This window comes from Homo sapiens, chromosome 1 (genome assembly GCF_000001405.40).
Source record: "Homo sapiens chromosome 1, GRCh38.p14 Primary Assembly".
In the NCBI taxonomy this organism is placed as follows: domain Eukaryota; kingdom Metazoa; phylum Chordata; class Mammalia; order Primates; family Hominidae; genus Homo; species Homo sapiens.
In genome coordinates this window covers 75,862,089-75,889,867 of record NC_000001.11, presented here as the reverse complement: position 1 = coordinate 75,889,867, position 27,779 = coordinate 75,862,089, and the positions used below count along the sequence as shown (strand labels likewise).

Genomic DNA, 27,779 nt, shown 5'->3' with positions numbered 1-27,779 from the left:
TATCCCAAGAGTTACACTTAATTCCTTCAGTTCTAAAGCCTACTTGACGTTTGCTCAATCAGAAATAGGTGATACTTTGGTACAGGGAGTGAAAATTCTATGAGAACAAAGAAGAGGATGATTTTTGAAACCCTTCTAACACAGTAATCTTTTGTTTTAAAATCAAGCCTATGAAGAACAATAAATACTATGCAAAATGGTACTGAACCAGTTATCATTTTCTGAAGTCTTTTACGTATTTCCTATAAAAACATTTAGGCACACTTTTATTACTTAATAATGCTAGCTCTTTCTCTTAAAATTATATTTTCACTTAAACATTGTCTTCCATTTCCACATAAAACAGAAATTAGGAGGCTGTCTTTGACTGCCCTCTGGCTCTTAGAAAAGGGTATAAGCAACATCTGCATATTTTAGTATAAAAATATTTTATGTGATAACTGGCCATTAGTGAGAGAATTTAATGTTTTTAACATAAGAAAAGTTTTGTTTGGGTACCTCTTTCATTTCTTTCATAAATGTTGATGAATTTGTTTCGATATCATCATCAGTACTAATTCTTGTAAAAATCTGTTTAGCAATTCTAAAGGAAGAATATTCTGCTGGAACATATGATCCTGTAAAATATAAGGTCAAGATAAACTGAAATGTGTTTATAAAATATAATTACTAATAACATTTTGTACTTCTCAGATTATTTACAAGGATTATATGGTAGAAAGAACACTAGATATGGCATTAGAAGACATGACCCCAGTTCTATCCCTTATTATAAAAGCTTAGACAGCACTTAAACTTTCCCAGTCCTAGCCGGGCGTGTTGCGGGGAAACTGTGGTCCCAACTACTCGGGAGGCTGAGGCAGGAGAATGGCGTGAACCCGGGAGGCGGAGCCTGCAGTGAGCCGAGATCGCGCCACTGCATTCCAGCCTGGGCGACAGAATGAGACTCCGTCTCAAAAAAAAAAAAAAAAAAAGTTGCCCTACCTACTGTACAAAGTTATCCAGAAGTTCAAATAAGGCAGTAAATGTTCAAGTACATAACAAACAGACAGTTATAAACACAATAAAAATTTTAAATAACTTACTTGAATGATAACATTCAAAATATTAAAATATGAAGGGAATGCTTATAAAGCTTATGAATATAATATGCCAGTTACACTGATCTAATCATTATACATGGTATGTATTCAAACATCACTATGTATCTCTTAAATGCGTGCAATTATTATGTCAAAAATAAAATAAATTAAAAAAAGAAATATGAAAATCTGAAGAAAATGCCTATAAAGCTGAAGTTAATAAAATCATTATAAAAAGATATAAAGAAATATCTGTGATTACAAACATGGAGAAACATTCAGAAGCAAAATAAAAGCAAAACATTTAATAAAAAGAAAAAAAAGGTGAATTTTCACCCACAAGACTGTTTCTGCCCAAGAAGTTATTGTGCTAACTCATCTAAAATATTCGTTTTTTGAAAACAAATCAATCTGATTAATGCACCAGTCTCAATATAGAATAAAATCTAAAATGCATTCTAACATTATAAGAAGATAAAATATACAAATAGTTGAAAGGGAAACGTACCACATATACAGAATTCTGTATAGGTAAAATGGTGAAATAATAGCAGCAAAAAAACCAAAGCCAGATTACTCCAAGATTAAAAACAAAAAAAGGGTAAAGAATAGGGCTTAACTCTGAGGAATAAGGAGTAGCAAGAAAAGAAACCAAAAGTCAGATTAATATTAATGAAAATAAAAGTAATAATCATAACAGTAGTAATTATAATAACGGCACCTATACCATTCGACATACTAGATATTTTATATCCACTCTTCCTAATTTTCAAAATAACCCAATAAATTATAAAAACTAGAAAGATGTATCTCCCCCATTCTACTCTATTTTTTTGCTTGTTTTCCTAAAAGGATGAATTATGAACCTAGAGTGGCTTCTGACACATAATCTCATGATAAATGTTTGCTGAAAATAAATAATGAAGTGATAGAGCCAGAATTTGAATCAGAACTTTCTGGCTAAAAACAAAAACAAAAACATAAACAAACTGTCCATTTCCAAGAAAACAGGAATGACCTGCTACCTTCTTAAGATTCTGGAGAAGGGTGGGGACAATTTGCTAATTTAGGGCAAAGATTATTTGTCAGGCTGCATGGGTTTGAATCCTTGTGCTGCCTCTTACAAACTATATAATCTTGGACAAATTCCTTCTCAATACTTTGACTTACTCATCTATAACATGGAGTTAATAATCTTTATCATATTTTTATGAGTGTTAACCAGATAACACTTCCAGTTTCCAGGCAGATAAACGTGAAATGCGTATTATCATGCAAGGTATATACAGCAGTGATGGGCATAGTGAACACTCAATATTAGCTACTGGGGTGTATTAGTCTGCTGCTTCACCCTGCTATAAAATCCCTGAGACTGAGTAATTTATAAACAAAAGAGGTTTAATTAACTCACAATTCTGCATGGCTGGGGAGGCTTCAGGAAACTTACAATCATGACGGAAGGCAAATAGAAAGCAAGGACCGTCCTCATATGCGAGCAGGAGAGGGAGAGAGCAAGGTGGGAACTGCCAAACACTTTTAAACCATCAGATCTTGTGAGAATTCACTATCACAAGAACAACATTGGGGAAACCGCCCCCCATGATCTAATCACCTCCGACCAGGTCCCTCCCTTGACACGTGGGATTACAATTCAAGGTGAGATTTGGGTGGAGACACAGAGTCAAACGGCATAATGGGGCAAGTGGGGAAGACTAAGGTAAAGGATTTATACTGGGTGATCTTGGGCAAGTCTTTGAGCCTGACTTTCCTCATTTTATAGAAATTCAATACCTATTTATTGAAGCCCTTCTATGTGTTAGGGTAAATAAACAGACATGGGTCCTGCCCTCAGAGAGCAGAACTTAGATTTCAAATACAACTTTCTTATGGAGTTTCTAGGAGAATAAATGTGAAATAAATGTGAAGGTAATATATATATATATATAATATATATATATATGTACCAGTGTGAGTATATATATATACTGTTTAGTATATATAAGGTATAATAACTATATACATATTTTATATATAATGTATATAATATATTTATATATAATGTATACATTTATATATAATATATTTATATATTATACATTATAATGTATATAATGTATAATGTATATATTTCTATATTTATACATAATTATATATTTATATATTTATATATTATACATTATATAATATATAATACATTATATATTATACATAATAACTTGCATATAATACATCGTATATAATAGATAATAATATATATAATACATCATATATATTATATATAATACATCATATATAATACATCATATATATTATATATAATATATAATACATCATATATATTATATATAATATATAATACATCATATATACCATATATAATATATAATACATCATATATACCATATATAATATATAATACATCATATATACCATATATAATATATAATACATCATATATACTATACATGCTATATATAATACATCATATATACTATACATGCTATATATAATACATCATATATACTATACATGCTATATATAATACATCATATATACTATACATGCTATATATAATACATCATATATACTATACATGCTATATATAATACATCATATATACTATACATGCTATATATAATACATCATATATACTATACATGCTATATATAATACATCATATATACTATACATGCTATATATAATACATCATATATACTATACATGCTATATATAATACATCATATATACTATACATGCTATATATAATACATCATATATACTATACATGCTATATAATACATCATATATACTATACATGCTATATAATACATCATATATATTATATATGTTATATAATACATCATATATATTATATATACTAAATAATACATCATATATAATATATACTATATAATACATATAATACATTACATATACTATATAATATATAATACATTACATATACTATACATAATATGTAATACATTATATAGTATATATACTATATAATACATTATATATACTATATATAATACATTATATATACTATATATACTATATAATATATAATACATTATATATACTATATATACTATATAATATATAATACATTATATAAATAATAATATATAATATATAATATATAATAATATATAATATATATTATATATAATACATATGTAATATATAATACATATACATATAATACATATAATACTTTACATATACATATATATTACCTTCATTATATAAATGTGAAATAAATGTGAAGGTTATATGTATATATATATGTACCCAGTGTTTGTGTGTGTGTGTGTATATATACATATATATATATATATGTATATACACACTCAGGATACCAACTGAGGTGGGAGGTGGAGGAAAAGGGTGAAAGTATATGTGAAAACCAAAATGTTACATACCTTTATATATATATATATACACACACACACACACACACACACCCCCAGTGTGAGTCTATATATACTACGTAGTATATATACGGTATTATATACATATTTTATATATATAATGTATATAATATATATATTTATATTATATATAGAAGGTATATATATACCCTATATATATACACATAGCGTATATTATTAAGTGGTATATGTTTGTATTTTCTCTGCTCTCTTAACCTCCATCAAAAAGTTTCTCAACCTTTCTTATCTAGATTATTACAGAAGCCTCCTGGCTGGTATATATATATATATACACACACACACACACACACACACACACACATATATATATATACACACATACACACACACATATATATACACATATATATACATACATACATATACATATATACATATATATTAGCTCCTCATAGCTAATTCAAATCGAAGTATTATGTCTTACATGAATCAGACAGTATTCTTATAAGGCGAAGGAAATTAGCTAAAATGTCCTTTTAATTCCAATAAACCTACAAAATCAATAAAATATTTACTCTTCATTAACTCATTTGTCTCTGATTGTCCCAGTACTAAGGGTGAATTTATACTGTATCACCAATATTATTATTGCTTTGTTCTCCTTACAATTCATTACATTAGACCAAGGTTTCTCACCCATGACACTACTAGTATCTTGGGCTCAATAAATCTTTCTTATGTGTGTGTGTATGGTGGGGTGAGGAAAGCAGGGGAGCGTGGAGAGGAAGAGCTGTTCTGTGCATTGTAGGATGTTTAACAGCATTCCTGGACTCTACACTCCCCTCAGCTGTGACAACCAAAAATTTTTCCAGATATTGCCAAATTCTGGGAGTTGGGAGGTAAGGGATCAAAACCAACCCTGCTTAAGAACCACTTCATTTTGGCCAAGTATCTCATCTCTGATTCATATAGTTCTCAAGGAAACCCAGTTTTCAGAATTAGGAGTTAAGCTGGGCCTCCATATTAAGAAATAGGTAACAATGTTGGGTCAGTGACAGCCATTTAGATGCATGTATGCACATGTGTATGTATAATATATCAACTGCTATGGCCAAGTTATTGGTACCCCTCAAGTTAAGGGAAATGTTTCTCTGCTCAATATTATATTTAATAATTTTGGAAAAAACTCACATGGATTATTAAAGGCAACAGCTTAACCTACTCATTTCACTTTTTCTCACAACAAACTTTGTTTTTGAACCAGAAATAATTGCATGATTCAATTTAGTAATATTTGATGCAACTTTAATAGTTATAGTAAGAATGTTCCCAATTCTGTAGTATCCCAAAAAAATTTTAGTGCAATGCAATTGAAATTGGATGGAGCTTAATAAATATCAAATAGTAAAGTTATAGTTTACACAACAGACACACTGTTATACTTTTAGGTAACAGAATCTGCTCCAAACTGTTCTTGGGTTAATTAGGCACATGGCCCTAAAAAAATTAGGCACAAAGCATTCTGAAAAGAGTGTAAAACTGGTCATTATAAATAAAGCCATAACTTACCAATCTGGGCCATAATCTGACAAAGAGCAATCTGTTTTAAATATGTGGATTTTCCACTCATGTTTGGTCCAGTTATGATCAAAAAATTACTCCCTTCTGTAACATAGGTATTGTTGGCAATAGGTTTTTCCGCAGATATTTTTTCAAGAATAGGATGCCATCCCTGTTTGATTGCTAAAGTATCAGTAAATTCTGGTCGAACTTAAGAAAAAAAATAGAATGGTTTTTAAAGATTAATATATTTGTGTCTAAAGATTTTGTAGTGTGTATGTATTGTCTATATCTTAGTGATTTTCACACTGGTCAATTTGGAATAATAACATTAAGGTACTATATTATCCCAAATCCCCACCCAAATTCTTCTAAATTATAATGGACACACTCTAATCACTATCACAACTTTTATTCACTTCTAGAGAACTCTAGAATTTAGTTCTTTACCACTGTCCTGAGCTCCAAAATAGTTTATAAAATTTTCAGCTTTTTGTAGATTAAAAAGAACCAAGCAGACCAGGCGTGATGGCTCATGCTGGTAATCCCAGCATTTGGGAGGCGGAGGAGGGCAGATTGCTTGATTGCTTGAGCTCAGGAGTTCAAGACCAGCCTAGGCAACATGGTCAAACCCTATCTCTACAAAAAAAAAAAAAAAATTAGCCAGGTGTAATGGCTCATGCCTGTAGTCCCAGCTACTTGTGGGGTTGAGATAGGAGGATCTCTTGAGCCTGGGAGGTGAAGACTGCAGTGAGCTGAGATTGTGCCACTGCACTCCAGCCTGGCTGACAAAGTGAGTCTCTGTCTCAAAAAAAAATAAAAATAAAAATAAAAAAGAACCAAGTACTCATTGATTGTACTTTAAAAATCATAGTTGGTTACTGGTAATACAGAGTTGCATATTTACTTACTCTACCTTAAACACTACTTCCCTACTTTAATATTATTTCAAATTTGGTACGCTTAGCATTTATTTATGTATTTATTAGAGACAGGGTCTTGGTCTATCACCCAGGCTGGAATACGGTGGCAAAATCATAGCTTATTGCAGCCTCAAACTCCTGGGCTCAAGCCATCCTCCTGCCTGCCTCAGCCTTTCAAGAAGCTGGGAGTACAGGCACCTGCCACCACTTCTCACCGATTTTTTTTTTTTTTTTTTTTTTTTTTAGAAATGAGGTCTAGCTATGTTGCCCAGGCTGGTTTCAAACACCTAGCTCATAAGTTGAGGTATGATTATAGAATAAAATCAAATATAAAAATAATTCTTTCTAAGCCCATGGAGAAATTTTGTATAAAAGGAAATTTCAGAGAATGAGAATAGAGAAGATCAACACAAATAATCTGCTAATCTATAGAAATAAATAAGGATCAGGTCTCTATGGATACCACCTGAAGTGGGGGGAGGAGGAAGAGGGTGAAAGCATATGTGAAAACCAAAATGTTCCATACCTTTATCTAAAATGCATAAACTTGAAAACATTCATCATAAAAGTGAGGTTAGAAAAAAAATTTTAAGTATTTTCAAAAATTCATTATTTATAGATATGGAGTTTCAGAATGATCCTTCTCAAACTAAAATGAAGCAAGACTAAATCTCTTAATAGTTTAAAAACAAAACTACCATTGGAATATCTGACCCCTAAAGTAGAGTTTTGATGCAAAGGAGATATAAAAGTTTGAAAAGTTTTGGCCTATAAAATACCAATAGAAAAAGTTAATATTTCCATAAGAAATATGAAAAAATCTTAAGATACATCCCATAAAAGTAAATTAACATAACATTTTAGAAATTTTACTGCTGATTTACATTAGAAATTTCAATGTTTTTAATGTAATGAAGTCTACAATTATTCAACCATAATTATCACATACTAGTCCAGTAAATTTGCATACTGGAGTATGGTTATTACTGGTAAGTTAGATAAGAAATGTCAAAGCACTAACTCGAAGTATTCATTTAACATGAGAAAATTACTTAACATTTATATTCATGGCCTTTTTATAGACTTGGGATATAAAAATAAATTACATAATTCCTAATTTTGGTATGTTCACATCTAAAGAGCTAGTGGATTAAAATGCTCACTCTGGAGATGCATTTCTCTCTATTAACGTTTATCACGCTGCTTCTAATAAGTATTCAGATTTGAACTTTATAAATTTAGATCACTGTCATTTTTACCAAGGAGACAGCTCTTACAGTCTTTCTTATTTGGGGAATCTTTAGTTTCTTGCAATTTTTTCTTTTTGGTTTGCCAATTTCTGAGAGAATAATTTTTACTTCAAAAAAAATTTTAAGGGTAATCTCACTTTCTTTATTTTGTGTCTTAGTCTAGGACCAGAGGCAAGAGACTCTATTTCAAGTTAAAAATTTTAAATGTCATAACTATTATATCAAATTGTTTGAATCGAATACAAATTTAACTATGCAATATGTTTATTCCAAAGAAAGCAACTTACCATAGTCAGAAAGAGTGCAGGCATGAGCAAATGACAGTAGCATATCCAGCATTGACACAGTGTCAGATAGTTTATATAAGCAATGAATATGTTCATAAATCTCACTAAGCAGTTTGCACACTATCCTGAAAACACGTTTGGTAAGACATGTAATAATGTTTTTTCAAAAGGGACATACATTGTAATCGTAAAATAATATTAAATTCATTGCCTGAAGTAAAATAATATTCACATCTGAGTTATACACTATAGATAAAGCCTATTGTTCATCTGTCTCATTTTAGAGATGAGGAAATTGAAGTTTTTGCTCAAGATCACAGCTACTTAGTGGCAAAGAATCTATCTTCTTGTGTATTAACATAACATTTTTGAAATAACTGCTTTTATATGATATTAATAAAATAAGTTTTTATTATTAAGAATATTTGATATAGGTCAAATCAAGCCCTCATTATACTTGGAAAGATCCCATTTGCTAATCACTTTGTGAATTTGCAAATGTTAAGTTCAACACAAAAACTATATGCATTTTCTCTCTCATCCATTTTTTCTTTCTCTCTCGTTCTTGTTCTCTCACTCACACACATGCACACAGACACAATATCTGAATAATATAATTATTTAAGTTTTTATAAGGCAGAGTTATACTGTGATATAGTGCAAAAAGTTTTTCTCTTGCAAAGATAAATATGTACCCAAAACTTACTATATATTAAAATGTTGGTGGTACATGCCTTGAAATTGTCTTGAAAGCCCAACCTTTCTCTTTATTACTTCAGCCTAATAAGTGTTCTAAATCTTCTACTTCTTCTTTCTGGCTGTATTGCTACTATTTCATGACCAGCAAAAGAACTGACACTATTGTGATATTGCTATTGAATTATTAATATCAAGGTATAAGAAGCTGAGGACTTACAGACCATAGGAAAATAATAAACTGAACGAAGCCCAGGTAAGCCCCTGATGTGCCAAGTTCTACATCATGGTAGAATGCACATTACAGAAATATCAATTATAAAAGTATTTGTTTGCAATTAGATCTTCCCCGAAGCTTCTGTGAGGCTCAGTGATTCTAATCACAAAGACAGACTTCCTTTGCTAACATGCATAATTCTACAATTGTCTGTAATTAGATAAAAATTAAACTAATACAATTGTAACAGTTTCTCAAATTAAACCAATTTAATTCAATATTCAAATACTTCAAATGCTCTTACATATAAGTCATGTGATAGATTTCTCTCAAAGATTCTTGGCATCTTTCATTCATTTTAATTAAATCTGCTGATGTAAAGCTGTAAGAATTTTTCACTTTAGAAATCTGCTTGGAGATTAAAAAACAAATGTCAAGATAAATGCACACTACTATGAAATGTAAGATTTTAAACAACAGAAATATGGGTATTTAGGTTAATCATTTTACTCTTTGAGATATGGTATCACAAAGAAAGTTCTAAATAATATTTGTGAAATGTAAGAGGTAGATCACTTCAAAGGATAAAGCCAAATTTTTTAACCCATACATTCATTTTTAAAAAGCAGGATATTTTGACCTAGTTCATCTGGGATGACTACTCTGATAGGTCTTAAAATGTTAAAAACACTACATCTTATTACCAAGTAACACGCATGATGGACATCAGTGATCCTCACTCCATCTCTGACCCCTGTCGCAGCCCTTGTCCTATATCTGAACCTCAACTCAATCTCTAATCGTACTCAAGCTCTAAAAGCCTGAAAGCTAAATGGTTTGTTCTTATCAAAAAGTACCCCCTAAGCAGATAGAACAAAGATTAGAGTGGGTTAGACTTTCCCAAACTGGTATATTGTAAAGGAGCTATATAGGAAAAATTATTCCTGTGGTACAAAGGTTTGGAAATATTAGATTTTTAAAAGTTAAGTAGATTTATTTACTTCAGGACTTTTTAAACCTTTAACAGGCAAATGGTGTGGTATTTTCCTAATTTCTTTTATCATAAACAGCTTTTGGATGTTCTTTCTTCATTTTCCTTTTTTTCTTACACCAAGCTCCCAGAACTGTGGAAAACACTGAGTTTGGTATTTCTGCAAAAGCATCTAAATCACTCTTAGATTAGTACATTAGTTAGGTGGGTGGGTAGGAATAGGAGAAGATACAGAACATTCAGAAATTTGGCTTGCAAAACTCAAGAAGTCCCAAAAATATGTAGATGTAATTCTATAAAATCAGAAACACTAATTTCCTAACCACTCTAAAATGAACCTTAATAAATTCTGAAGGAAGTTGATCACTAGGTAGGGCTATACAATCTGTAGTCATCTGGATGAAAAATCCTCGAGCAGAGCTAAAACTTGTCCTTAAAGGTAGACTATATTTTTCTCCAAGTTGTGATATCATTCCTGGTGACCAGAAACAAGAAAAACAAAAACAAAACAAAATGAATAAATTTTAATGAGAAAAATCACTCTGTTTTAAAGAGTCACATGGTTTTTAAATTCTTATTTTATACATAAATAGGAGGTCTTGTTGCTCTTTCAAACTCTAATAATTTTTTTTTTTTTTCAAGACAGATCTCACTCTGTCGCCCAGGCTGAGCACAGTGGCACAATCATAACTTACTGCAGTCTCGACCTCCTGGGCTCAAGTGATCCAAGTGATCCTCCTACCTCAGCCTCCGGAGTAGCTGGGACTACAGGCATACATCACCATGCCTGGCAAATTTTCTCAGTTTTTGTAGAGACAACGTCTTGTCTCTACAAAAGACTAGCTATGTTGCCAAGGCTAGCCTCAAACTCCTGGACTCAAGCTATCAGCCCTCCTTGGCCTCCCAAAGTGCTGGGATTATAGGCATGAGCTATTGCACTTGGCAATGGAAGGTTTTCAAAAGGAGTTTAGTATGAAGGCTGCCACATATGCTGTTTCCTTAAATGGCACTACATGCTAACCTTATGTTTTGGTAACGAAAAATAAATTTAAAATATGTATGGCTAGTCATCAGCAGCAAAAAAGGACAGCATGTCCTGAAAAGGCTGTTTTATCCCTACAAAAAACATTATCAAATAAAGAAATTACCTGCTATGTCATCTACAATCTCTGTGTATGTTCTTCTTGCTATGTCAAGAAATTCATTTATGTTAGACCTCACTGCATAGCACTTCTGAGTCCTCATGTTTAGGCATCCTTTCATGTATCTTGCATCATCATTAATTACTGTTTTAATCTTTTCAAGTATGATTCCAAACCTAATATTAAGGCCAAAAGAAAAACATTATAGGCAATAAGTCAAAGAGTTATTTTAATTTATAATTTGAATCACAATTGATGATAGCAAATTTTTGTTGAAAGTTATTTTGAAATAACTAATTAAGCAACAAATATTTAAATTTACTTAAGTTAGAGCTGTGACTATTTCATATTTAAACTGTTTCATCAGTCAGGACTAGTCTAAAACAGCATCAGGACCCCAAAAACAATTCTACATCTGCTAATAGAGCTCACAAATTACATATACTGATGTGCCTGTGGGTACAAAATACATCTCTAAAGAACTGTCATAAAAATTGTGGCTTCATGCTCATTCACTCAATAAACATCAATGTACACCATGTATCAAGCACTGTGCTAGGTGAAGAGATTCAGAGAAGAATAACATATGATCCCTGCCTTCGGTAGAGGCAAGAGACACTAAACACATATGTAGACAGCGTAACAGGAACCTCACAATTACCAGTGGTAAAGTTCAGTGATTATGCAAACCAGAAATCTGGTAACACATATTTTCCTCAACTTTTCCTTCATTCCATTCTATATTTTATTTGTAATTAAGCCAGTTTTATTATTAACTTCAATGTGTGGCCTCACACGGGATAAATCTTCAATTAATAGAATAATAGTTCTTAAGTATCACAAATCTTTTCAGTTCAGAACCAAGGTCTGGATTGAACCAGTAGTTCTTCAGTCCACAACTACTGCTAATAATTTAATACTGTTAAAATTAAACAGCATTTAGATTGTATTCAATATTTATATCTACTATTTTTTGTTACATTAGACCCTTCATGATTTAACAAAATAAAGAAATATATTTTTATTATTTGCAAGTCTTTCCATGGAGAATGGCTTTAAAAGGAAATATTAAAATTGTGCTTGGATTTCAAGTTTTCATGCTATTCTAATTGTCCTTTAACACAAATAATCAATGTGTTGTTACCCTATTTATTCTACTTATAATGTGAAATGTACAATTAGAATTTTGATGAATAGGTTAAAGATTCTGTTAACCAAAACTCAAGTAATTGTTCCATAGAATACAATTAGAGTCTTTAAAATCAGTTATGATCAGGAAGAAGAGAATAATCTTATTTTTTATTAACGGTTGAGTGACAAAGACCTCTTGTCTTCCAAGGAACCATAGTAAGCTCTTAATAAAGGTGTGTTACAGTTCTTCATAGCAATCTATTAAAGAATAAAATAAAAAAGTTAAGGATAATCAATTACAAGATCATTCAAACATATCATTTTACAGTTGTTTAATACTTTATAGTTTACCAAGTGCTTTCTTCATTTCCTCATTTATATACTCATAAAATATATTTGTAGCTATCTAGCTGAGGATAGACTGTATCTTTCCCTTTTTCCAAATAAAGAGTACATGGCTAATTAGTGCCATCCACTGCTTATTATAAATTTTATTTTTCTTGCCTCTCTACTAATTGTTAACACCCGACAACTTACATATATAGGTACTTAAACAACTACTGTTGTACATTTAGAGTACTCTACATATAATTCCAAAATTTAGGTTAGATATACATTAGACCAAAAAAGTGCTTTGTATATTCATAAATAGAGCAATTTCTCAATTCTTATATAGTAAAAATAGGGATTTTATTTTGCTTAATGAAAACTATGAGGGGGTCACTAACTAAATAAACAGAAAAGAAGAAGAGAAAGCATATTTAGCCTGGCCATTATCTCCTTTTTTAAATTTGATATGAAGCAATGGTGATAACTTTTTTTGCTTATGAACAGAAAATAATATGCACAGACAGATAAAAACTAAAAAATTCACCAAAATTGAAAGAAAAAAATTAAATCTACTATTGTCCAAAGATAAACATTCTAAATATTATATTTCCTGTCAGTATCTAAAATAAATAATTTTATATCATTGTGTGCTCCTTCCCCAACCCCGACTTAATCCAGGTTGAGTATTTCTTACCCAAAATGCTTGGGATCAGAAGTTCCAGATTCTGGATTTTTTTCAGATTTTGGAATATTTGCATATGTACATAATGAGATATCCTGGAGATTAAACCTGAGTCTAAACATGAAATTCATTTATGTTTCATGTACACCTTATACACATAGCCTGAGGTAATTTTATACAACACTTTAAATAATTTTGCACATAGAAGTCTATGTACATGGAAACACCAGAAAGCAAAGGTGTCACTATTTCAGGCACTTAGGTGGACAATTTGTGATTGTTTGGCATCACTATCATTCCCAACTCTGAATTTATATGCTACCAATAAGCAATCATTTTTTAACACTTATTTACCCATAAGTACTTAACAGTAAAAAAAAAACCTGACATACCATTAATATAGTGAAAAAATGTGTTCAGGCTAACAGCACGGTAGCACCCCCAGAGTACCTGCATCAGCTCTTAAATGACAGCAACAACTAATAATTTCCAGTATCCACCTATAATGCTATATTTTGATTAAGAGGTTACTGTAAGCTGTATTTTATTTTTCTAAGTGAGATGAAACATCAGAAACAGTTAAGGGACCAGGAAGTGGGTATTCTAAGGATACGGAGGCATTTTGCTGGCCCGCTTTTAGAAATGTTTCCTCTAGAGTCATCTGCTTCATTAATAATGGTTTTTGTCATAGAAATTTCTCTTTGATTTTATAATTGACATGATTTCTTGTTCTGTTATGAATGTGTGCTGCTCCATTCTTATACAGTAAAAATAGGAATTTTATTTTGCTTAACAAAAACTGTAGATCTTCAATAAGCCCATCACACATTTTTACCATATCTGTAGGCGTTTTTTCTGCAGTGTTACAACATCATCTTCATCGTCATTACTGTCATGATCACCTTGAATCAGAACCATTTTGTCTATTTCATCATCCATTGATTAATGAACAGCTGGGGCCTCATTATTGATGTTAAAAATGTCAATTGGCCTGGCGCCATGGCTCACACCTGTAATCCCACCACTTCGAGGGGCTAAGGCGGACAAATTGCTTGAGCTCAGGAGTTCGATACCAGTGTGGCCAACATGGCGAAACCCCGTCTCTATCAAAAAGACAAACAATTAGCTGGGCATGGTGGTGCGTGCCTGTGGTCCCAGCTACTCAGGAGGCTGAGGTGGGAGGATGGCTTGAGCCTGGGAGGCAAACGTTGCAGTGAGCTGAGATTGCACCACTGCACTCCAGCCTGGGTGACAGAGTGAGACCCCATCTCAAATAATAAATAAATAAATACAAACTTTAACACCCAGTTCTTCCAGCTTACTGACAGACTCTGAAAGTATGCATTTTGCATATTTTAGGATGTCAGACATAATTTTTTCTCACTTGACATATGGAATCCTACAAAGTCACCACCTTGTTTTATCATCATCATTGAACAGCATCACAGGCCAGAAGTTGTGCCAGGCATGCACAACCACGTCTTTAGTAACTATGTTCCAAGCACTGGCAACAGCATATATGGCATTCTTCATACTAAACTCCTTTCAAAAACCTTCCATTGTCAGGTGTGGTGACTCACACCTGTAATCCCAGTGACTCAGGAGGATGAGGCAGGTGGATTGCTTGAGCCCAGGAGTTCAAGACCAGCCTGCGTAACATAGCGAGACCCCTGTCTATAAAATTTTAAAAAATTATCTGGGCATAGTGACATATGCCTGTACTCCCAGCTACTCAGGAAAGGTTGGAGGATTACTTGAGCCTAGAAGTTCAAGGGTGCGGTGTGCAATGATCGTGCCACTGTACTCCAGCCTGGGCACAGAGCAAGACTGCAACTCTAAAAAAACTTCCACATCTATGCTTCTGTTCACTGATGCTAGCACGCTGTTCAAGAAAGTGTTTTTAAATTTACAAGAATAAAACAACTTCATTAAAAAGTAAGCAAAACAGACACTTTTCTAAAGACATACATGTGGACAACAAACATATGAAAAAAAAGCTCAATATCACTGATCATTAGAGAAATGTGAATCAAAGCCACAATGAGATACCATCTCACACCAGTCAGAATGGCTATTATTAAAAAGTCAAAAAACAACGGATGCTGGTGAGCTTGTAGAGAAAGAAGAACATTTATACACTGTTGGTGTATGAATGTAAATTAGCTCAACCATTGTGGAAAGCAGTGTGGCAATTCCTCAAAGAGCTGAAAACAGAGATACCATTCGACCCAACAATCCCATTGCTGGGTATATATGCAGAGGAATATAAATCATTTTACCATAAAGACAAATGCACACGAATGTTCACTGCAGCACTGTTCACAATATAGCAAAGACATGGAATCAACCAAATACCCGTGAGTGACAGATTGGATAAAGAAAATGTGGTTTATATACATCATGGAATACTATGCAGTTATATATATATATATAAAAACAAGATCATGTCTTTTGCAGGGACATGGATGGAGCTGGAGGCCATTATCCTTAGCAAATTAACACAGGAACGGAAAATCAAATACCCCATGTTTTCACTTAAAAGTGGGAGTTAAACGATGAGAACTCATGGACACAAAGACAGGAACAACAGATACTGGCGTTTGCTTGAGGGTGGAGGTTGGGAGGAGGAAGAGGAGGAGAAAAAATAACTATTGGGTACTAGGCTTAGTAACTCGGTGGTGAAATAATCTGTACAACATAACCTCCAAGACACAAGTTTACCCACATAACAAACATGCACATGTACCCCCAAAACTAAAATAAAAATTAAAAAATTTTTAAAAAGTGTTTTTGTATTTACTCTTCATTGATCTAAGGATACTCTTGTCACAGTCACATGGCTGAATTAATGAAGTCACATTTAGGTGAAAATATATGGCATAAACATTATTTTTGATGAAAATTGCAGCTGGAGGATTAACAGAAGAGATGTCAAGGAATAACAAAATATTTCAATCATCATCCAATCCAGATTCCCTGCAGTGAGCATGAGCTGCTGGTGTAAAATGTTTGTGAGACCAATTGGAAAAAAAATGTCCCTGGTGATTCAGGCCTCTTTGTTAGCATAATAATAAACTGGTAAGAAATTCACTCCTTGAAAACAGCAAAGACACAAGGTTTTACCTATCACAGCACGTTTACACTTACGTGTGTCTGCTGCACTAGCACAGCCCAGCATAGTTGTTTTCTGTCCTTGGCATCCTTAATTCCCACAGGGGCTGCTTCATCAGCTGTAGTCAGTGTCTTTCTGAGGCAATAATGTCAAAACAATGATGTTTAATCAGCATTATCGATTTGTTCTGGCATCAGATTTTCATCAGCAATGACCTTGGCAAACTCATCAATGAATTTCTCCAATGCTTCATGATCAGCAGATGCTCAATCACTATAAATCTTTAAAAATTTAATGTTATTTTCTTCTTAAATTTCTGCAACCAGCCTGTTGAATATTGACAGTTCCCTTCAATTTTCATTTCATTGTGATAACATCTTCACTTGTTTCATGATCAGTATACCATTAAGTGGCATGTGTTCACTGCAAGGCAGATGGATCCATTCTTTCTTTCTTTTTTTTAAAATGTTATGCAGTGTTTTTCTATTTTTCATTAGCTTCTGTTCATCACTTTCAGCATAGAACTGCAACAGTTTATCCGTTTGTTTCTTTAGGTCATATCTGGCAGTCATTCTAACAGCACAGGCTTCTTTAAGACCTTTGACACTTACACCATTATCCAGTTTCTCCAATAGCTTGACTTTCTGTGTTACATATAAACGTAAGTGATTCCTCTTTTTCTTATCACTGTTACTGCAGGCCTTTCTGACATTTTCTTTGTTTTGTTTTTTGTTTTTGTTATCTTAACCACTAGACAAAGCAGGCAATAAGCAAAAAAACAGTAATGCACATCAGTCTTGGCCCTATGTGGAGCATCATGGAAACTTGCCATTGGCACATCTGACCTGTAGCTGTGTCATTGTGTTACCCTTTGTGGGAATGTTTGCATAGAAGAATCTGGGAATGCACAGGAAAGATATATTACAGATGAAGATAGCTGGGAGGGTCTTTTTTCCCTTTAGGATGCTGAATAAACTGTGTTGACTACCTGCATTTTGACTGCAACACATTACATAAGGTCAAGATGTAAAATTTTCCACTTGTGACATCACATTGGTACTTAAAAAGTTTCAGAATCTGGAGCATCTAAAATTTTTAACTTTTGGGTTAGGGATGCTCAACTGATACTATATCATACATATAAAAAACTTTTCAAGGCAAAAATGTTTAATAATTCATAATATTCCAGTCTATGGAAAGCAAATAGTCTCTTCCTGTAATTACTGCAGTTCTACTCTACTTATAATTTCTCACTGATATAAATAAATAATACTGTAATGACCATTGTTGGACATAAATATTGGCCAATGTTTCTGAAAAGTTCTTTCAGACAAATCTCTAGAAGTAGTGTTACAGGATCAAAAAATAGATGTTGCAAACATTTCCAGCACAATTCCTTGTAAAGTATGTGAAATCTGTATTTTTACCAGCTGTTTAATAAGTTGTCTGTCTCATAGATCTCTAATTAGAAATGAGTTACATCCTTTAAGATAAATGAAAATGTCTGCTTCTTTGACAGATAAGAACTATGGTTTTAATTGGTATTGCTTTGATTAATGATGAGGTTAACATTTTTGGTACCATTTATTAATCACCTTGATTTCCTTCTTTGGGTCATTTTCCATATTTCCATTGGCATTTCAATATTTTCCTATGAAATTACATGAGTTTTATGATGACAGAAATTAGTATTTTGTCTGTCTGATACAGTTAGGGTTTGTCTCCCCACCCAAATCTCATCATAAATTATAATCCCTAGAATTCCCATAATCCTCACTTTTCCAGGGAGAGACCAGATGGAGGTAATTGAATAATGTGGGCAGTTTCCCTCATGCTGTTCTCATGATGGTGAGTGAGTTCTCATCAGATCTGATCGTTTTATAAGTGTGTGATAGTTCCTCCTGCATTCCTTCTCTTTCCTGCTGCCTTGTAACAAAGGTGCCTTGTTTCCCCTTCTCCTTCTGCCATGATTGTACATTTCCTGAGGCCTACCCAGCCATACTGAACTGTGAGTCAATTAAATCTGTTTCCTTTATGAATTTCCCAGTCTTTGGTAGTTCTTTATAGCAGTATGAAAACAGACTAATAAACTGTCATTTGTTATAAATTTTTCCTACCTTTGCCTTTTACTTTGCTTTTGACATACCAAAGTTTAAAATTTGTGTTTCATGAAATCTCTCAATATTTTTCTGGTGATTTATTCCATTTATTTCATTACAAGAAAGGTGAAAACATTTTTGAAGTCTTTTGCCACATTACTTTAACTATACATATTTGTATTAGTCCTTTCTCATGCTGCTAAGAAAGACATACCCAAGACTGGGTAATTTATAAAGGAAAAAGGTTTAATTGACTCACAATTCCACATGGCTGGGGAGGCCTCACAATCATGGCAGAAGGTGAATAAGGAGCAAAGTCATGTTTTACATGGCAGCAGGCAAGAAGAACATGTGCAGGGGAACTCCCCTTTAAACAACCATCAGATCTCGTGAGACTTATTCACTACCAGGAGAACATGGGGGAAACTGCCCTATGATTCAATTACCTCCACCTGGCCCTGCCTTTGACATGTGGGGATTATTACAACTCAAGGTGAGTTTTGGGTAGGGAAACAGCCAAACCATATAATTCTGCCCCTAGCCCCTGCCAAATCTCATGTCTTCACATTTCAAAACCAATCATTCCTTCCAAAGAGTCTCCCAAAGTCTTAACTCATTTCAGCATTAACTCAAAAGTCCACAGTCCAAATCTCATCTGAGACAAGGCAAGTCCCTTCTGCCTATGAGCCTATAAAACTGGAAAGCAAGTTAGTTACTTCCTAGATACAATTGGGGTACAGGCATTGGGTAAATACACCCATTCCAAATGGGAGAAAATGGCCAAAATGGAGGGGCTACAGGCCCCACGCAAGTCCAAAATCCAGTGGGACAGTCAAACCTAAAAGCTCCAAAATGATCTCCTTCGACTCCATGTCTCACATACAGGTCACACTGATGCAAGAAGTGAACTCCCATAGCCTTGAGCAGCTCCACCCTTGTGCCTTTGCAGGGTACAGCCCCCTGAACCCTGCAGCTGCTTTTAAGGCTGGTGTTGAGTGTCTGTGGCTTTTCCAGGTGCATGGTGCAATCTGTCGGTGGATCTACCATTCTGGAGTCTGGAGGACAGTGGCCCTCTTCTCACAGATCCACTAGGCAATGCCCAAGTGGGGACTCTGTGTGGGGGCTTTTGCCCATTTTCCTTCTGCACTGTCCTAACAGAGGCTCTCCATGAGGGTCCCGTCCCTGAAGAAGACTTCTGCCTGGACATCCAGGCATTTCCGTACATCCTCTGAAATCTAGGTGGAGGCTCCCAAACTATTCTTGACTTCTGTGCACCTGCAGGCTCAACACCACATGGAGGCTGCCAAGGCTTGAGGCCTGCACCCTCTGAAGCCATGGCCCGAGCTGTGTGTTGGCCACTTTTAGCCATAGCTGGAGCAACTGCGACGCAGAGCACCAAGTCCCTAGGCTGCACAGAGCAAGCGGGGCCAGAAAACCATTTTTTCCTCCTAGATCTCTGGGCCTGTAATGGAAGGGGCTGCCATAAAGGTCTCTGACATGACCTGGAGACATTTTCCCCATTGTCTTGGTGATTATTAACTTTTGCCTCCTTGTTACTTATGCGAATTTCTTCAGCTGGTTTGAATTTCTCCCCAGAAAATGGGATTTTCTTTTCTACTGTATCCTCAGGCTGCAAATTTTCCAAACTTTTATACTCTGCTTCCTCTTGAATGCTTCACTGCTTAGGAATTTCTTCCCCCTGGATACCCTCTCTCTCAAGTTCAAAGTTCCACAGATCTCCAGGGCAGGGGAAAATGCTGCCAGTCTCTTTGCATAGCAAGAGTGACCTTTATTCCAGTTCCCAAAAATCCCTCATCTCCATCTGAGACCACCTCAGCCTGGACCTTACTATCCCTATAACTATCAGCATTTTGGTCAAAGCCATTCAGCAAGTCTCTAGGAAGTTTCAGACTTTCCTACAACTTCCTGTCTTCTGAGCCCTCCGAACTGTTCCAGCCTCTGCCTGTTACCCAGTTCCAAAGTTACTTCCATATTTTCAGGTACCTTTACAGCAGCACCCCACTCTACTGGTAAAATTTACTGTATCAGTCTGTTCTCAGCTGCTAATAAAGACATACCCAAGACTGGGAAATTTATAAAGGAAAAAGGTTTAATTGACTCACAGTTCCACATGGCTGGGGAGGCCTCACAATCATGGCAGAAGGTAAATCAGGAGCAAAGTTACATCTTACATGCCGGTAGGCAAGAAGAACATGTGCAGGGGAACTCTGCTTTATAAAACCATCAGACCTTGTGAGACTTATTCACTACCAAAAGAACAGTATGGGAGAAACCACCCCCATGATTCAATTATCTCCACCAGTCCCCGCCCTTGAAATGTGGGGATTCTTACAATTTAAGGTGAGATTTGGGTGGAGACACAGCCAAACCATGTTAATATTTATTAGAATAATCTCTATAACAAAGTTATTCCATATTTTTCATTATTTCTTTTTCAAAAGCAGTTCCCTTTATCACTTCAATAAAAACAAGTTTTACACAGTGTAGTATTTAAAAGTTAATGAGAAAATAATCATCTTGTAACCATCAGAGTAATAATTACTTCAGGTAAGAGCCATCAATTAATTCTACAATCAATGGGTGGAAGTTTGATGAGGATTGGGTTATTTACACATTCTCAAAATAACTCTCCATAGATTAATAACTTATTAATTACAAAAGAAAATCTGAATTTATGGTGAAGAAATTGATCAGTTAATATCACCAAGAATGAGGAAATGGCATTATGTGCCTCTTGATGTGATGCACTAAAAAGGATACATCATAGAGTATTAAGGCCAAATATGCACAGATGAATTTAATCAGGAGAAAGCAATCACATAAATTGAGGAAATTCTACTTAAAAAGTTGACCCTTATGCTTCAAAATGTCAGTATCATGAACAAAGGCTGAGAAACTTCTCCACTTCAAAGGAGTTTTAAAAAACATGACATTAAATATAAGATATGATCCTGGATTGGACCCTATATCAGGAAAAAAATGCTATAAAGAACATTATTAGAACAATTTTAAAAATTTGAGTATGGGATACATATTATAAAATAGTATTGCATCAGTATTAATTATTCTGAATTTGATAATAATATTATGATTATATAAGAGAACATCTTTTTGTTGGGAGACTTTAGTCTCCTAAGTACTTAGTACCTTAGTACTTAGGTGCTGCAATTTATTCTTAAATGGTTCAGTAAGCATAATAAGGCTAACAATGTGTATGTGTATGTAAAGTATGTACAAAGAAAAAAAATATGGGAAATTCGCCATGTTATTCTTGCAATTTTCCGAGTTTGAAATTTTTTTCCAACAAAAAGTTAAAAAATAATGCTGGACATGTTTTGTACGATACACACACATAAATTACCTTTAAAGGATCCACAAGTTCCAAGGTATGTTTTAAGTATATTAAATTTGTTATCTTTGATTCAGCAGCATTGACCTGTTAAGATAAAAACCCAAATTTGGATGGACACCATAAATATTTAATAGAACAATGGGTTTTCCTCTTGAACATTCTTACTCTTTCCATATCCCATATATTTTTATATATCAGCCTAGCCGCAATGCAAGCCTAAAGAATGATACAAAATTATTGACCCACCATAATTAACCTAGCACACCGGTTTCCCAAAAGTCTGGAAATGAGAAGAGTTCATCTCTTTGTATCCAATTTTCATTTCTATTTCAATCTCTTGGGTTCAATTTAAACTGAATAGCAAAAGGAGATGCAGTCCAATCCTGAGCAGCACCAAGAGACTAAGATTAACTGAAAAAGGCACAAAGAGTATTTGTAGATAGATGATATTTTAAAAGGCTGAATCCAAACCTCCCAGATAGTTATAGAACAACACTGATTTCCCTCATTGGTTCCTGTTTGTTCAAGTAAAACTTTTCATAATTCCACTAGGAATTATAGTTTGCCAAAATAAAGCAATATCAACATTCCAAATTTTATTAATAAATTTTATATAAATTAAATTGCACTCTAGAATTGGGCAGTGTTACCAAACCTGGAGGAATGAGGAATGATCCTGTGCCTGGACTAATTTACCAATACTGACAGATGAAGTAGAGTTTTAGGACTACAATTATGACATAATGTACTTGATATGAAGATGTTTCTTTTTTTTTTTTAATAGAGATGGGGTTTCACCATGTTGGCTAGGCTGGTCTCGAACTCCTGACCTCAGATGATCCAGCCATCTCGGCCTCCCAAAGTTCTGGGATTACAGGCATGAGCCACCATGCCTAGCCAGATGTTTCTTTTTGAGGTACCGTGGTCTATAGCCCCACTGCACAATACCTGGACTGTTCTGTGACCATATGCATCAATTTAGAAAAAATGCCATAATAAATGTTGTTAGCCCCAAATGGGTTATGTCATGTTCTCTTACAATGGATCTCTGAAACTAACTGGAAGATTAAAAATAAATAAAATTCACTAAACAGAAAACAACTATCATCACTATCACTAAAGAAGAATAATTCATGCTAGGTGCAATGGCTTATGTCGGTAATCCCAGCATTTTGGGAGTCTGAGGTAGGAGGATCACTTGAGCTCAAGAGTTTGAGACCAGCCTGGGCAACATGGCAAAACTCTGCCTCTACAAAAAAAAAGTTAAGAAATTAGCTGGGTGTGGTGGCACATGTCTGTGGTCCAGCTACATAGAGGCTGAGGTGGGAGGATCACTTGAGCCCAGGAGGTTGAGCCTGCAGTAAGCAGTGATCACACCAGCCTGGGTGACAAAGTGAAACCCTGTCTCAAAAAAGGGCAGGGGGATAATTCCAAAAATAGCTAACACACCACTGAAGAAGAAGAAGATGGAAAGACTAACTAATGAATGAATGTCAACTTCTAATAAAATTACAGTAATTAAGAAATGATGGTATTGACGTAAAAACAGAGTCCAATGGAACAGAATAAAGAGTCTAGAAATAGACCTAAACATATATATGGGCACTCGATTTATGACAAAGGTTGACTGCGGAACAGTGGGGAAAGGAGAGTCTTTTCCGTAAATAGTACCAGTAGAATTATGAATCCATATGGGAAGAAAAGAAACATGGCCCTTCCCTCAACCTACACACAAAAATTAATTCCAGATGGATTGTATATCTAAGTATAAAAGGTAAAACAATAAAATATCTGGAATTAATAAAGAAGAATATCTTCATGGCCTTGTGTGTTCTAATTAACTTTTATAGATTTTGTAATTGATGATTTGGCATCCATTAATCACACGGTGAAACTAATAGCTAAAGTTGTTTACATCTCCCTTGCAGTCTGGCTTTTGCAGGCATGTGAAAATCATATTACAAACTCTCCAATCACAAACTTCAACATCTGTGTTTTACTTCCTGCCCAACAGGTGACTTCCCTACCTAGCAACTTCCTGGCATTTTTGCCCATGTTTCTCCTTGCTCCTTCTGCCTCTCGACCAACCCTAGTACTTCCCCAGGTGGTCCTGCCTGACATGCCCTCTCCTCTTGGGAACTATACGTAATAAACAATAGCATTAGTGTCTCCATGTTATCATTCAATCATCTTCATAAATTAAAATTAAAATTCCATGGGTACAATCAAGATATTAGAGTAGGTAAAGACTTCTTATGCAGGACAGAGCAAACACTAACTATGAAGGGAAAAAAAACTGATAAACTAGATCCATTTAAATTATGAATTTCTATTTATCAAAAGATATTACTAACTCAAGATAGGTTCTCCAAAAGCCAACTCTGAGAAACTAGAATTTGAGAGCAAATAATTTATTTTAAAAAGTAATTCCAGCAAAAACAAGCAAGGGAGTGGGGAAGTAAGACAGAGAAGGAAAGGATACCTGTACAGGAGACATTAATGATCAAGTAACCAATTTGTCTCCATCTCTCAGATGGAGACATCTGAGAGATGGAATAGAGTAAGTTTCAGAAGCTATCTCCAGAGGTAAGGAAAATGGGGTATTTATTCATCAACTCCTATTCAGTGTTGGTTAAGAGCTGTTGCCAGGGCATCAATTCCCTAATACCCTCCAGCCTCTCTTATGGCCAGAGAAATTCTTCAGAAAGCAGAGTCTCAGCTGCTTCAAGCAAGAAGTCTTCCTGCACAAAAGTGAATACCAAGGCAATGTGGGTAGCATACCAACAGCATCTATCCCACAATGTTCAGTGCAAATTAAACTACAAAATGGGAAGAAATGTTTGTAACACACATAACCAAAAAAGGGCTTATATCTAATATGTGAAAAGAAGCTATACAAATCACAAAAGCAGATAAACCAAATAGAAAAATGAGTAAGAATCTCAAGCAAGACTTTCACAAAAGAAGATATTCAAATGGTCAATATACATATGAAAGGATGTTCAACCTCATTAATAGGAAAACACAAATTAAAACCACGTTTATTAAAATGCTACGGCTAAAATTTTAAAACCAGTAATATCAGGTTTGGGGAAGAAAAACTGGAGTTCTCATATGCTGATGGGAGGATAAATGGATAAATCATTTTGAAAAACATTTTGGCATTATCTACCAAAGTTGAATATATGCATACCACATGACCCAGCAATTCCACTCCTAACTATATACCAAATAAAAACATATGTACAATTACATTAAGAGATGGGTACAAGATTGTTTAGCAGTATTATTTCTGATTGCAAAAACTGTCAGCAACTCAAAAGTTCAGCAATTATGAAATGGATAAATAATGGCATATTAATATACAGTGGAATATCATATAGCAGTGAAAATAAATGAGCTAAAGCTGAATGAAACAACATGGTTAAATCTCACAAATAAAATGTTGACTTGAAGAAGTCAGGCACAAAAAATATGCATTGAATAATCCCTTTATATATAAAGTTTTTAATAGATCAAGTCAAACTAAATTACAAAGAAAAGGAAATGATTACTAAAAGTCGTTTCTTTTTGGAGACAGGTAGAAAATAATGGATGGGAAGGAGAAGAAGGGGAATTTTTGAGGTATTGGTGATAACTATTTCTTTACGTGAGTGGTTGTTACATGAATGTTCACTTTGTGATAAATCAATGTAACATTACATTTTTATTTTGTACAGTTTTCTGTATTGTATATTATTTCTCATTACTTTAAGAAAAGGCTAAAAATAATAATAAACAGGAAGGTAGAAAGAAAAGAATACTCTTACAGAAGGCAAAAGAAGAAAATGAGAAATGAGTGTGTTCATCTGAGTCAAATTTTGCTGCTAGGTCAAGCATGATGAGCACTGCCATTAACCACTGGATATAGCAATATGGAAATAATTGGTGGCTTTGAGAAAAGGAGCATAATTAGATACACAAATTACAGATAATCCTCCCAGTGGAGTGGTGAGGCGAAGATTTGTTTGGAATGGGTTTGGAGAGAAAAGAAGCATAATTAGATACATCAGTTACAGATAATCCTTCCAAAAAATATTGCTTTACAGAGAAACAGAAGAAAAGTAGAGGGGGAAGTAAAAACAAGCAAAAAAAGCCATTTTATATTTTTTTAATGAAGCGATAATAGCATGTTTATATTTCTCTTTGACCCAAGCGTCTTGTGCCTTCTGTCAGCATCTATGAAACTATGGCAGGCTAACTAGTTAGTTTGCAACTAGGGTAGAATCTCAGATCCCTTGCAGTTCTAGATAATACTATGCTGTAATTGCTTATTTTATTTTTACCCAAATATAACATTGGAGTATAAATTCTTTTGGATCAGAGCTGTAATTCTTATTATATTTTAGCACTTATCATAATACTTACTAAAATGAATCATAGAATAAATCAAAGAAGGAATCATATACTTCAGATACTCTATATGGCAGTCTGAAATCATTTGAAAAAAAGTTATTCAAAATGATGCAAAAAACTCATGATAAAAATTAGAAAAATATCTTTAATATAAATTTTTCAAATGTTGGGGAAAGTATTTTAAGCATTTGTAGTGGAAAACACAAATATTCTTAGTGCAATACATTAAGTGCTATGGTTATAGATACTGTACAGAAAGAAAATTGTGTTAAGATAAGAAATTTAAGCTTTATTTTTAGTGAACACTTATGGTCAGAAACATGCATTTTCTAGGAATCAATATTCTTAAAAAGAAAGAATAAGAACTCATCTTAGGCAAACAATTTCTTACTGAAAATTTTCTGAAAGCATTTAGTTCATTCACAAGTTTTAGCAAATCATTCAGTTTAACCAGCACAAGTCTGAACTTAGTAAATACTGTATTCAATTAAGAGATTTGTGCTTATATTAAATGAGAAAAGAGCCCTTCAAAACAAATTTTCAGATGGTTAAAAAAATGATAACTGAGAAACATTATAAGAAATAATGAAGGCCATGAATCATGCATAAAGTTAAATATATTGCTTAAGTTTCCCTAAAGGTTACTAAATCTGATCTGTACAGTCTTAACAAAAAGCCTCCACAAAGGACAGAAACACAATGGTGAGAAAAAGATTTACAATTCTGACTGATTCTCCCAAAACTAAAGTTTTCCTTAGTTTAAAGGATGGGAAGTGGACCACGCTTCCAAGATGGCCAAATAGGAAGAGCTCCAGTCTACAGCTTCCAGCGAGATTGACGCAGAAGATGGGTGATTACTGCATTTCCAACTGAGGTACCTGATTCATCTCACTGGGACTGCTTGGACAGTGGGTACAGCCCACGGAGGGTGAGCCGAAACAGGGCAGGGCATCACCTCACCCGGAAAGCACAAGGGGTGGGGGGATTTCTCTTTCCTAGCCAAGGGAAGTTGTGAGTGACTGTACCTGGAGGAGCACTCTTGCCCAAATACTGCACTTTTCCCACGGTCTTCACAACTGGCAGACCAGGAGATCCCCTTCCGTGCCTGGCTCAG

General features: G+C 34.1%; 1 protein-coding gene across 1 annotated transcript in view; it reads right to left on the bottom strand.

Annotated features, from left to right (window-relative positions):
* Positions 1-27,779, bottom strand: part of MSH4 (mutS homolog 4) — a 116,361-nt gene that overhangs the window by 23,375 nt on the left and 65,207 nt on the right. Inside the window, exons 9-16 of the mRNA NM_002440.4 lie at positions 22,280-22,354; positions 12,868-12,932; positions 11,550-11,719; positions 10,740-10,876; positions 9,715-9,818; positions 8,498-8,622; positions 6,047-6,247; positions 499-617 (exon numbers count right to left, since the gene is read on the bottom strand). Coding sequence (NP_002431.2) covers positions 499-617; positions 6,047-6,247; positions 8,498-8,622; positions 9,715-9,818; positions 10,740-10,876; positions 11,550-11,719; positions 12,868-12,932; positions 22,280-22,354 — 996 coding nt within the window. The remainder of the gene's footprint in view (positions 1-498; positions 618-6,046; positions 6,248-8,497; positions 8,623-9,714; positions 9,819-10,739; positions 10,877-11,549; positions 11,720-12,867; positions 12,933-22,279; positions 22,355-27,779) is intronic.